The 12,219-nt window shown below is 58.9% G+C and overlaps 1 protein-coding gene across 5 annotated transcripts, besides 4 other annotated features; it reads left to right on the top strand.

Moving 5' to 3' along the window:
- Positions 397-446: a silencer, noted in NCBI's record as "silent region_16". NCBI's record gives its function as "represses an Ori minimal core promoter by ATAC-STARR-seq in GM12878 lymphoblastoid cells {active_cell/tissue: GM12878}" and the evidence as "EXISTENCE:reporter gene assay evidence [ECO:0000049][PMID:35858748]".
- Positions 547-926: a silencer, noted in NCBI's record as "silent region_15". NCBI's record gives its function as "represses an Ori minimal core promoter by ATAC-STARR-seq in GM12878 lymphoblastoid cells {active_cell/tissue: GM12878}" and the evidence as "EXISTENCE:reporter gene assay evidence [ECO:0000049][PMID:35858748]".
- On the top strand, positions 962-2,095 carry HES4 (hes family bHLH transcription factor 4). Of its 5 annotated transcripts, none has more exons than XM_047426320.1 (4): positions 962-1,193; positions 1,272-1,367; positions 1,446-1,526; positions 1,627-2,095. In XM_047426320.1, the coding sequence occupies exons 1-4, from the start codon at positions 1,086-1,088 to the stop codon at positions 1,696-1,698; spliced, it is 357 nt and encodes a 118-aa protein (XP_047282276.1). In that variant the 5' UTR covers positions 962-1,085; the 3' UTR covers positions 1,699-2,095. The 5 variants fall into 5 exon arrangements, with proteins under 5 accessions (XP_047282276.1, NP_066993.1, NP_001397629.1 ...); NM_021170.4 differs by having other exon boundaries at positions 1,446-1,533; NM_001410700.1 differs by lacking the exon at positions 1,272-1,367 and having other exon boundaries at positions 1,446-1,533.
- Positions 997-1,136: a silencer, noted in NCBI's record as "silent region_14". NCBI's record gives its function as "represses an Ori minimal core promoter by ATAC-STARR-seq in GM12878 lymphoblastoid cells {active_cell/tissue: GM12878}" and the evidence as "EXISTENCE:reporter gene assay evidence [ECO:0000049][PMID:35858748]".
- Positions 1,687-1,996: a silencer, noted in NCBI's record as "silent region_13". NCBI's record gives its function as "represses an Ori minimal core promoter by ATAC-STARR-seq in GM12878 lymphoblastoid cells {active_cell/tissue: GM12878}" and the evidence as "EXISTENCE:reporter gene assay evidence [ECO:0000049][PMID:35858748]".

Genomic DNA, 12,219 nt, shown 5'->3' with positions numbered 1-12,219 from the left:
ACAGCCCTGTTTTACGCAACCTGCCCCTTTGCAGTTATATTAACAGTGGCCCCTCATTTTTCTGTGAGCCCCACTTTGCTGCTGCTGAGTTCGCCAGCGGGTCACCTGGAAGCACGTGGCGACACGGGCCACATGACGTCATCCCAGCAGGCTTGCGTCATCGCCCCGGGTGCCTGGTGACGTCACCAGCCCGCTCGCGTCACGCGCACGTTCTGCTCCTCGTGGTCCGGCCCGGCCCGCGCCATCACCGGCCCTGCTCTGCGGGGCCACCCGTGCGCCCCTTCGCCGTCCGCTGACTCCGCCCTCCCGCCTGCCGACCCGGCCGCCGACCTTCCCCCGGCTCTGTCGCTCCCAAGGCTTTCTGCAGCCCTCCGTGCTCCAGGCCGCACACCTGAGGGTGGGACCCCCGGAGGCCGAGCCGGTGTCGGATCAAACTCGGAGACCGAGCAGGGCCCAAACCGGGACCGGAGTGGGGACGGGCGGAGGAAGCCAAGAGGCTCGAGACCGAGGCTCGCCCACCCCTCGGCGCCGCCGGACCCTGCGCCACTGGGGGAATTTCCTTCCCGACTTCCCGCGCGGCCACAGCCCCAGCTCCGTCCAGCCCCGGCTCCCGGCCCCCTGGGCGGGAGAGTGAGCCCCGAGACTCCGCCCAGCCCCGGGGGTCCCGGGCCCCGTTCGCCCCCAGCGGCCCCTCCCGGCGCGTTGCTCGGCCCCGGCTGCATCGGGGAGCGCGGGATCACCCGGCCCTGTCCCCAGCGGTGTCGGAGGGGGGCGCGGGCGGGGGCCCCGCATGCCATTGTCGCCCGCGGAGGCCGCGCCCGGAGCCGAGGCGTGACTGACAGCGAGCGGGGGAGGAGCGCGGCCGTCGATTGGCTGGGGCGAGTGTGGGAAAGAATGCGGAGCCGGGTTCACACACCCCGCGGCGGCGAGGCCTTAAATAGGGAAACGGCCTGAGGCGCGCGCGGGCCTGGAGCCGGGATCCGCCCTAGGGGCTCGGATCGCCGCGCGCTCGCCGCTCGCCCGCCAGCCCGCCCGTGGTCCGTGGCGGCGCGCTCCACCCGGCACGGGGAGGCGCGGGGCGCACCATGGCCGCAGACACGCCGGGGAAACCGAGCGCCTCGCCGATGGCAGGAGCGCCGGCCAGCGCCAGCCGGACCCCAGACAAGCCCCGGAGCGCGGCCGAGCACCGCAAGGTGGGGTCCCGGCCGGGCGTGAGGGGGGCGACCGGGGGGCGGGAGGGACGCGGGACTCAGCCGGTGCCCGACCCGCAGTCCTCCAAGCCGGTCATGGAGAAGCGGCGCCGAGCGCGTATTAACGAGAGCCTCGCTCAGCTCAAAACCCTCATCCTGGACGCCCTCAGAAAAGAGGTAAGTCGGGGGCGAAGGCCCGAGACCCGGAGTCTGGGTCGCAGCTGACCTGGACCTCCCGCCTATCCCCGCCCCCAGAGCTCCCGCCACTCGAAGCTGGAGAAGGCGGACATCCTGGAGATGACCGTGAGACACCTGCGGAGCCTGCGTCGCGTGCAGGTGACGGGTGAGGCGCGGGCGGCGGCGGCTTGGAGGCGGGGGGAGGGCGCGGGACCCCCGGGACCCGGCACCGACCTCTCCTCCTGTGTCGCTCCCGCAGCCGCGCTCAGCGCCGACCCCGCCGTTCTGGGCAAGTACCGCGCCGGCTTCCACGAGTGTCTGGCGGAGGTGAACCGCTTCCTGGCCGGCTGCGAGGGCGTCCCGGCCGACGTGCGCTCCCGCCTGCTGGGCCACCTGGCAGCCTGCCTGCGCCAGCTGGGACCCTCCCGCCGCCCGGCCTCGCTGTCCCCGGCTGCCCCCGCAGAGGCCCCAGCGCCCGAGGTCTACGCGGGCCGCCCGCTGCTGCCATCGCTCGGCGGCCCCTTCCCTCTGCTCGCGCCGCCGCTGCTGCCGGGTCTGACCCGGGCGCTGCCCGCCGCCCCCAGGGCGGGGCCGCAGGGCCCGGGTGGGCCCTGGAGGCCGTGGCTGCGCTGAGGCTGTGGCCCTGAGACTGCATCGGAGGCGGCGCCCCGTTCTAGGGCCGTGGCCTTTGCCGAGACTGTAGCAGAGAAAACGTATTTATTATTCCAGAGTCTGCGTCACGAGTTTTCTTTCTTTGTCTTGGTGAAGAGTTGACTTTGGGAGCGCCCCGCAGCCACGCCGCGCCGGGGTCCCGCCCTCCTCCCAGGGCCGCGGTCTGCAGGTGGCTGGGGGCGTCGGGCGGGCCCGGGGGGGCGGGCTGGGGGCGGGACCGAGGACTGAGGGCGACCCCTCCGCTCCGCGCCCTCCGCTCCGCGCCCTCCCCTCCGCATCCCTGCAGCCCCGCATGCGCACCCGCCCTCTGCCCCCGCGTTGGGTTTGCCTCGCTCTGCGGTGGCGGTTGTGAGGGGTCCCCCCGGAGGCTCAGGTGGGAAGCTCAACGTCCCTGAGTGCCCAGAATCTTCCCGGTGCTGGAAGGCGGTCGCGCAGCATCGCCGGGCAAGTTACTTTTCGGAGGCCCCTTTCCCGACTCCCAGTCCCCGGACCGCGGAAGGCGGAGGCTGCGGTCCTGAGCGGCGCTGGGATGAGGGCGGCCGCCCTTGGCCCTGAAGACCCCCGCTGGGTTCTCCTGTTAAGTGCAGAGCTGCCCGTGCCCACCGCAGACCCCTCCTCCAGGCGTCTGTGCGGGGGGCGCCCGGCGGGAGCGCGCGGGTCCGAGCTGGGCTGTGGACACCGAGTGCCGGGGCCAAGGACGTCGCTCACGAGGGCGTCGGCCCTGCCCGCAGCCTCCCCTGCCCCGGTAAGGGAGGTTCCGCCTCCCCAGTGGGTGAGGACTGGGGGCTCCTCCCTCATCGTCCCGAGCACGTGCCGTTGTCGACCACCGAGTTACCAGGCAGCGCCGGACGTTCCCCTGAACCAGCGCCGCGGTCGCCATCCCGGTCCCGCGTTCGGGGGGGTCCGGCGCAGTTCGAGGCACTCAGCCGAGGCAGAGGGTCTCCCCCTGAGCCGCACCCAGGGCCATTTCCCAACTGGGGCCGAGTTCACCAGGGCCCACGGGAGGCGAGCGAGCCCTCCCACCAGCACTGGCCCTCCAGGCCCCAGTCTGTGCCTCCATCAGGAGCCCCCCTGGGCCCTCCAGGACACAGCCGTGCACAGCTTGTAGGAGCCTCCCAGGCCCAACAAGCCAGGCCACCCCTGGCCCCTGGCTGCCCTGCCCCCTCCCTGAGCTCCGAGGGCCAGGCCAGTGACCCTGGGCGGGGTAGCATTGGGCTGGGGGTCCCACCCTTGGTCCCCCCAGCAGTCCTACTCTGGGGGTCCTGGTCCCAGGAGAGCCTCAAAGTAGCCCTTCCCCTTGGGAGCCTGAGACCCCATGAGGGAGGCCCCCTTCTCCTTGGGAGCTTGAGACCCCGTGAGGGAGGCCCCCTTCCCCTTGGGAGCTTGAGACCCCGTGAGGGAGGCCTCCTCAGCAGCACAGGAAGGGACGGTCTTCTTGGGGGCAGCTGGAAGCTCAGCGTGGCCGGGGGAGGGGAGTTGCTCAGAGAAGGCATCAGTGCAGAAGGGGAAGGAGGGCCTGGGGCAGCGAAGCTGGGAGTGTGGGGAGGAGCTCAGGGTAAGAGAGGCACCCCACAAAGTCACCCGGGCTGTGGGTCCCAAGAGGGCAGGGCATCTCTCCACCAGGCTCTGGCCTTGAATGCCCTCTCCACTGTGGCGAAAGGGCCCTGCATAGCTGCCCAGGGACCACTCAGGTTCTGGGGGAATCACAGTCCTTGGGCAGTCCCTTCGCAGTCTGGGTTCCTTTGTGCTCCACACCACCTGCCCCCTGGCTTTTCCCCCTTGTTTCCTCCTAACTTGTCGTCCATCCCATCTGCCGCAGGCTGGGTGGTGCATCATCCGGGCCCAGCTGGACGGGGCTCCAGAGGGCGAGGGCTGAGTCTGTCCAGAAGCTCTGTCCTCAGCACCCAAAACAGGGAAATGGACCCACGGGGACCTAATCCATCCCTTTGAATGACAGAGCTGGGAGGTTTGGGTTAGACTAGCGAGGTCTCAGGAAACACAGCCTGAGGGGCCGGGCTGGACGGGGGCAGCATAGGGGCTGTCCTGGGCTCCCCCTCAGGCCGCCCCCTTCTCAGAGCCCCCCTCGGGCCTCCGGGAGCCAGCCTCTGCCTACACCCAGCCAGGACGCCCACCAGAACCTGCTTAGGCACGCGGGGGTTCTTTCTGCCCTCCCCACCCTGCATCCTGTGGCCCCAGACGTGAGGTGCCCCCTCCCGCGGGGGGTCCTTTCTGCCCTCCCCACCCTGCATCCTGTGGCCCCAGATGTGGGGTGCCCCCTCCAGCGGGGGTTCTTTCTGCCCTCCCCACCCTGCATCCTGTGGCCCCAGACGTGAGGTGCCCCCTCCCGCGGGGGGTCCTTTCTGCCCTCCCCACCCTGCATCCTGTGGCCCCAGATGTGGGGTGCCCCCTCCAGCGGGGGGTCCTTTCTGTCCTCCCCACCCTGCATCCTGTGGCCCCAGACGTGAGGTGCCCCCTCCAGCGGGGGGTCCTTTCTGCCCTCCCCACCCTGCATCCTGTGGCCCCAGATGTGGGGTGCCCCCTCCAGCGGGGGGTCCTTTCTGTCCTCCCCACCCTGCATCCTGTGGCCCCAGACGTGGGGTGCCCCCTCCAGCGGGGGGTCCTTTCTGCCCTCCCCACCCTGCATCCTGTGGCCCCAGATGTGGGGTGCCTCTTCCCGCGGGGGGGCCTTTCTGCCCTCCCCACCCTGCATCCTGTGGCCCCAGATGTGGGGTGCCCCCTCACGTGGGGGTCCTTTCTGCCCTCCCTACTCTCCAGACATTTCCTGCCCCTCCCCACCTCAGGTGGCGGCTGCTCAGCAGCTGGGGTCTGGCCCGGTCCCCCATCCCTGCCCCTCCCCAGCGATTTTTATCTTGGCTTTTGGTTTTCTGCTGAATAGTAGGTGAAAGTCATCTTCTCGGTGGAGGGGGTGTGGCTGGCAGCCCCTGGTCACTTCCAGTTCATCTCTCACTGCCTCCTTGATGAGGACCAAGGGTCAATAAATGTTTGCTGAATTCCTTTGCCTCTGGGGTGTCTGGGCCGTGTGTGTCTGGGCTTGTCTGCCGCGGGGGGAACGGGGCAACACAACCGCAGATCACAGGCTTTTGAAATCTGGAGAACCTCAGTCCCTGTGGTGACCGAAGTCTAGGCCAGGCCCATGAACTCCGGGCGCCGGCAAGTTAGGGATGGGGGTGGGGTTGGGGCTGCCTGGAGCCGGGGCTTGTGAGAGGTGAGGCTGAAGCTCGCCCCGCCGGGTTCTGTGGTCACCTGGGTCCAGGACTGTCTCCTCACCATGCCTGGCTGCTGCCCCACGGCCCCCTGGAGCCCCAGGGTTATACCCACCTCGGACGCAGCCGGGGCAAGGGCCCTGGGGTGGCAGCCTCCCTGATGTCCCACTGTCCCCTTCTGGCATTCACACCTCAGTGTCCTGAGGGTCCAGTGATCTGCAGGATCAGCAGGGTTCTGCCCAGGTGATGGGCTGAGAGTGAGACCCTGTCTCAGAAAAAAAAAAAAATCAGTTGACTGTAAATGTGAGGACCTATTTCTGAACCCTCAATTCTTTTCCATCGATCTATACATCTATCCTTGTTCTATTATCAATCACACTGTCTTCTTGATGACTGTAGCTTTGTAGTAAGGTTTTCTTTGTTAGATTGGGTTTTCTTTTGTTTTGTTTAGACAGAGTCTCTGTCGCCCAGGCTGGAGCGCGGTGGCACAATCTCGGCTCACTGCAACCTCCGCCTCCCGGGTTCAAGCGATTCTTCTGCCTCAGTCTCCCGAGTAGCTGGGATTACAGGCACCCACCATCGTGCCTGGCTAATTTTTGTATTTTTAGTAGAGACGGGGTTTCACCTTGTTGAAGCTAGGCTGGTCTCGAACTTCTGACCTCAAGTGATCTGCCTGTCTTGGCCTCCCAAAGTGCTGGGATTACAGGCTTGAGCCACCGCACCCAGCCCACTGTCAGGCGTTTCTTTATAGCAATGTGAGAATGAACTTACAGTCAGCCTATAAGCTCAGCATGGAGCGTGGAGAGAGGAAGCTGGTGGGCAGAGGAAGGCAGCGGCATCTGAGCCGTTGGGCTCACTCTGACCTGGACAGGGCAACGGGTGTGGGGGACCCTGGGGGTAGGGACAGGTGGAGCTGGGGCAGCTCTCCTCTTCTGGGACTGACTCCAGTTACATGTATATCAGTTGAAGTTGTCCCACAGCTCACTCTTCTATTTGTCAGTTGCTTTTTTTTTGAGATGGAGTCTGGCTGTGTTGCCCAGGCTGGAGTGCAGTGGTGTGATTGTTAAAGACCATTCTTTCCTCCATTGAATTGTCTTGGCACCTGTGTTGAAAAATCGGTTGCCTGTAGGCCAGGCACAGTGGCTCACGCCTGGAATCCCAGCACTTTGGGAGGCTGAGGCGGGCGGATCACCTGAGGTCAGGAGTTCAAGACCAGCCTGGCCACCAAGGTGAGACCCCGTTCCTACTAAAAATACAGATATTAGCCGGGTGTGGTGGCGGTGCCTGTAGTCCCAGCTACTCGGGAGGCTGAGGCAGGAGAATCGCTTGATCCCAGGAGGCAGAGGCTGCAGTGAGCAGAGATCTTGCCACTGCATTCCAGCCTGGGGGACAGAAAAGAGGCTCAATTGGCTTGTGCTTCTGCAGGCTACACAGGTAGCATGGTGCTGGCACCTGCTCAGCTTTTTTTTTTTTTGAGACAGTCTTGCTTTGTTACTCAGGCTGGAGTGCAGTGGCATGGTCTCAACTCACTGCAACCTCTGCCTCCTGGGTTCAAGCAATTCTCTTGCCTCAGCCTCCCGAGTAGCTGGGATTACAGCTATGTGCCACCACGCCAGGCTAATTTTTGTATTTTTAGTAGAGACGGGGTTTCCCCATGTTGTTCAGGCTGGTCTCGAACTCCTGACCTCAAGCAATCCACCCACCTTGGCCTCCCAAAGTGTTGGGATTCCAGGCGTGAGCCACTGCGTCTGGCCCTGCTCAGCTTTTGGGGAGGCCCCAGGAAACTTCCAATCCTGGCAGAAGGAGAAGAGGGAGCAGGCAGGTCACATGGCCAGAGCAGGAGCGAGATGGGGTTGGGGGTGGGGTGCCACCCACTTTTAAACACCAGCTCTCCTGCGAGCTCACTTACTAACCCAAGGACTGTACCACGGCGGGGGGATGGTACTAAGCCATTCATGAGAAACCCACCCCCATGGTCTATACCTTCCACCAGGCCCCACCTCCAACACTGGGGATTACAGTTTGGCATGAGATTTGGGTGGGGACACAGATCCAAACCATATCACTGACTGGCATGTGCCAAACACACCAGATGGCAGGGCGGGCTGTGCTCCAGCATGGGACCCTCCAGCTGCCGATCCCCCCCAACCATGGCCTCTTAAGCCCCAGGCCCAGTGGCCCCCTTGGTCTTGGCCCCCCCAGCCCCGGTCAGGGATGAGGTCTGCTGGCTCTGGCCAAACTTCCTCCTTCACATGCACCGGGAGGAGGCCCAAGCTGTCGGCGGAGACGCCTGGGGGCCAGGACATCGTGTCGTTGTGCACCTTCTGTTTTTCCAGTTCGGCTTTAGGAAGAGGAAGCTCCATCAGCACGTCCCCAGGAAGCTGGTTTGTTGGGAAAGGGGTGAGAGCAGCACTCCAGGAGGTGGCCAATGAACCTACTATGCGGGATTTCGGCTGGACTTTTCCTGACCAAGCCAGGGGCTTAATGTTACCAAGCAGGTTGCAGGCAGGAGGCTGTCACCTGCTTGACAGAAATCCTTGGGGCAAATGCCATCTCCATGTGGAGGCAGCAATGAAAGCATGAAGGATCTGAGCTGACGTTACAGTGAGAGTGTCCCCCCTTCCTGGCACTCAGGCAAGGATGCTCCCCAGATGATGGACACGGGGACCCTCCCCAGATGACAGACACGGGGACCCTCCCCAGATGACGGACACGGGGACCCTCCCCAGATGACGGACACGGGGACCCTCCCCAGATGACGGACACGGGGACCCTGCCAGATGACGGACACATGGACCCTCCTCAGATGACGGACACATGGACCCTCCCCAGATGACGGACACATGGACCCTCCCCAGATGACAGACACATGGACCCTCCCAGATGACGGACACATGAACCCTCCCCACATGGACAGGAAGATTCCAGCAATGTTAGAGATGATAGAATTCATAGACAAGGATATGAAAGCTGCTGCTACAACTTACTCCAAGAAGCTATTCCAGGTGTGGTTGTGTGTGCCTATAGTCCCAGCTACTCAAGATGCCAAGGCCAGCCTGGGCAACAAAGCGAGATCTCATCTCTAAACAAAAACAGAAATAAACTAGAAAAGTGGAAGCTAGAGGAAATATCGAATGTGTTAGGGACTTTGAAGTTACAAAAATCCCAACGGGGAACTTCTAGAGATGAAAATTATGATGTGTGATTTGAGAAATGCACTGGGGGGAAGTACCAACAGGTTAGACACTGGAAAGGAAAACAGTAGTCAACTCGAAACTATAACAATAAAAACTATTTAAAATAAAACAGATTTTAAAAAACAGAGAGGCTGGGCGCGGTGGCTTATGCCTGTAATCCCAGCACTTTGGGAGGCCAAGGCAGGTGGATCGCCTGAGGTCAGGAGTTCAAGACCAGCCTGGCCAACATGGTGAAACCCCATCTCTACAAAAAATACAACAACAACAAAAAAATTAGCTGGGCGTAGTTGCAGGCACCTGTAATCTCAGCTACTTGGGAGGCTGAGGCAGAGAATTGCTTGAACCCGGGAGGTAGAGATTGCAGTGAGCCGAGATCGTGCCATTGCACTCCAGCCTGGGTAATAGAGCAAGACTCTGTCTCAAAAAACAAACAAACAAACAAAAAAACTGAAAAACAGAGAAATAGAATGGTGAGCTGTGAGACAACGTTGAGTGGCCTAACATACGTTTAATTGGAGTTGGTCCCAGAAGAGGGGAAGAAGGTAAAATAGCTGAAGAAATAATGATTGGAGTTTTTCCAAGCTTGATGGGAACCATAAACCCACTGATCCAAGGAGCCTCTCAGCACAAGAACCTGGACAGAGACTCCCGGAGCGTCGCAATCACGTCAACAAAATGCCACGATAAAACAGCAATGCTCACTCCTGCCTCTTACTTTTGACACTCCAGGAAGTTCCTGCCAGAGCAATTAGGAAAGAAAATGAAATAAAAGAGGCTGAGCATCATGGCTCACGCCTGTAATCCCAGCACTTTGGGAGGCCGAGGCAGGCAGATCACCTGAGGTCGGGAGTTCGAGACCAGCCTGACCAACATGGTGATCCCTGTCTCTACTAAGAATACAAAATTAGCCAGGCATGGTGGTGCATGCCTGTAATCCCAGCTACTCAGAAGGCTGAGGCAGGAGAATCACTTGAACCTGGGAGGCAGAGGTTGCAGTGAGCTGAGATCGCGCCGTTGCACTCCAGCCTGGGCAACAAGAATGAAACTCCATCTCAAAAAGAAAAAAAAAGAAAAGAAAAGAAAATGAAAGTGAAATAAAAGGTATCCAGGGCCAGGCTCAGTGGTTCACACCTGCACGTGATCCCAGCACTTTGGGAGGCCAAGGCGGGAGGATCACTTGAGCCCAAGAGTTCAAGACAAGCCTGAGCAACATAGTGAGACCCTGTCTCTACCAAGAAAAGGAAAAAAATGCAAAAATCAGCTGGGCATAGTGGTGTGCACCTGCAGCCCCAGCTACTCTGCAGGCTGAGGTGGGGCGACTGCTTAGGCCCAGGAGGCAGAGGTTGCAGTGAGCAGATATTGCACCAGTGCATTCCATCCTGGATGACAGAGTGAGACCTTGTCTCAAAAGAAAAGAAAAAGATGTGAAACTTTTCAGATGACATGATCTCATATATAGAAAATCCAAAGGAAGCCACTAAAAAAGTTATTAGAACTAATAAACAGGTACAGCAAGGTATAGAATACTTGGAGGGCACAAGATCAATTTTTCAAAAATCAATTGTATTTGTTCACACTGGCAATGAACAATATAAAAATGAAACTTGTTTTTTTGAGATGGAGTCTCGGGAGGGCAGTGGCGCAATCTCGGGTCACTGCAACCTCCACTTCCCGGGCTCAAGCGATTCTTGTGCCTCAGCCTCCCAAGTAGCTGGGACTACAGGCACCGGTCACCGTGCCTGGCTAATTTGTGTATTTTTAGTAGAGACAGAGTTTCACTATGTTGGCCAGGCTGGTCTTGAACTCCTGACCTCAAGTGATCCTCCTGCCTCGGCCTCCCAAAGTGGTGGGATTACAGGCTTGAGCCACTGTGCCCGGCCTACAGTCAACTGATTTTCAATACGGGTGCCAAGACAATTCGATGGAGGAAAGACTCATCTTTAACAAATGGTGCTGAGACACCCGAACATCCACATGCCCGTGAGGGAAGCTGCTCACATTATTCACATCACACACACAGAGAACTCAAAATGAATGACAGGCCAGGCATGGTGGCTCATGCCGAATCGCCTGAGGTCAGGAGTTCGAGACCGGCCTGGCCAAGATGGTGAAACCCCGTCTCTACTACAAATACAAAAATTAGCCAGCGTGGTGGTGGGTGCCTGCAGTCCCAGCTACTCGGGAGGCTGAGGCAGGAGAATCGCTTGAATCTGGGAGGCAGAGGTTGCAGTGAGCCGAGATTGTGCCATTGCACTCCAGCCTGGGCGAGAAGAGTGAAACTTCATCTAAAAAAAAAAAAAGGGCCGGGTGCGGTGGCTCACGCCTGTAATCCCAGCACTTTGGGAGGCTGAGGTGGGCGGATCACTTGAGGTCAGGAGTTTGAGACCAGCCTGGCCAACATGGTGAAGCCCTATCTCTACTAAAAAATACAAAAAGTTAGCCGGGCATGGTGGCAGGCGGCTGGAATCCCCGCTACTCAGAAGGGTGAGGCAGGAGAATCGCTTGAACCTGGGAGGCAGAGGTTGCAGTGAGCCAAGATCACGCCATTTCACTCCAGCCTGGGCGACAGAGTGAGACTCCGTCTCAAAAAAACAAAAACAAAGCAAAACAAAACAGAATGGATGACAGACATAAGAGCTAAAACTATAAAACTTTTAGAAGAAAATATAGCAGTAAATTGTCATGATCTTGGGTTTGGAAAGACCTTGGGCAAAAGTCTTCTTAGGTAGGATACTGCTGTGGTTTGGATATGGCCCCAAAAGCTCATGTGCCGGGAGCTTGACCCCCATGTGGAAGTGTTGGGAGGTGGGACCTTTAAGAGGTGTTTAGCTTATGGAGGCTCTGCCCTCACGAAGAGATGAACGCTGGTATCGTGGGAGTGGGTTCCTCATGGAAGGGGGGTCCAGCCCCTCCTGCTCTCCCACTCTGTCTTCTTTGTCCAGGGATGACACAGAAGGAAGGAGCTCATCAGACGCCAGCACCTTCATCTGCATTTCCCAGCCTCCAGAACTGTGAGAAATAAATTTCTGTTCATTATAAATTACCCAGTCTCAGATATCCTATTAAGGCAGCACAAAATAGACTAAAACAGATACCAGAAGCATAAGTGACCAAAGAAAAAAATTAGACATCATCAAAATTTAAAACTTATGTTTCAAATGGCATTATCAAAAAGTGAAAAGACATCACATATGGGAGGAAACGTTGGCAAAATATATATTGACAAGGAAATTACCCAGAATTCCAAACACAATCAACCCCGAACTTCAGAAAACATTCAATCCTGAACTCCACAGTCAACCCAGAACTGCAGAAACAGTCAACCCCGAATTCCAGAAACAATCAACCCTGAACTCCAGAAAAAATCAACCCAGAACTCCAGAAACAATCAACCCAGAACTCCAGAAACAATCAACCCAGAACTCCAGAAACAATCAACCCCAAATTCCAGAAACAATCAACCCTGAACTCCAGAAACAGTCAACCCAGAACTCCAGAAACAATCAACCACGAACTCCAGAAACAATCAACCCCAAACTCTAGAAACAATCAACCACGAACTCCAGAAAGTCAACCCCAAACTCCAGAAACAATCAACCCTGAACTCCAGGAACAATCAACCCAGAACTCCAGAAACAGTCAACCCCAAACTCCAGAAACAATCAACCCTGAACTCCAGAAACAATTAACCCAGAACACCAGAAATAATCAACCCTGAACTCCAGAAACAATCAACCCTGAACCCCAGAAACAATCAAC

This window comes from Homo sapiens, chromosome 1 (assembly GCF_000001405.40).
Source record: "Homo sapiens chromosome 1, GRCh38.p14 Primary Assembly".
Taxonomy (NCBI): domain Eukaryota; kingdom Metazoa; phylum Chordata; class Mammalia; order Primates; family Hominidae; genus Homo; species Homo sapiens.
Note: the sequence above shows the minus strand (reverse complement) of the source record. Positions and strands in the feature narration are given on the sequence as shown.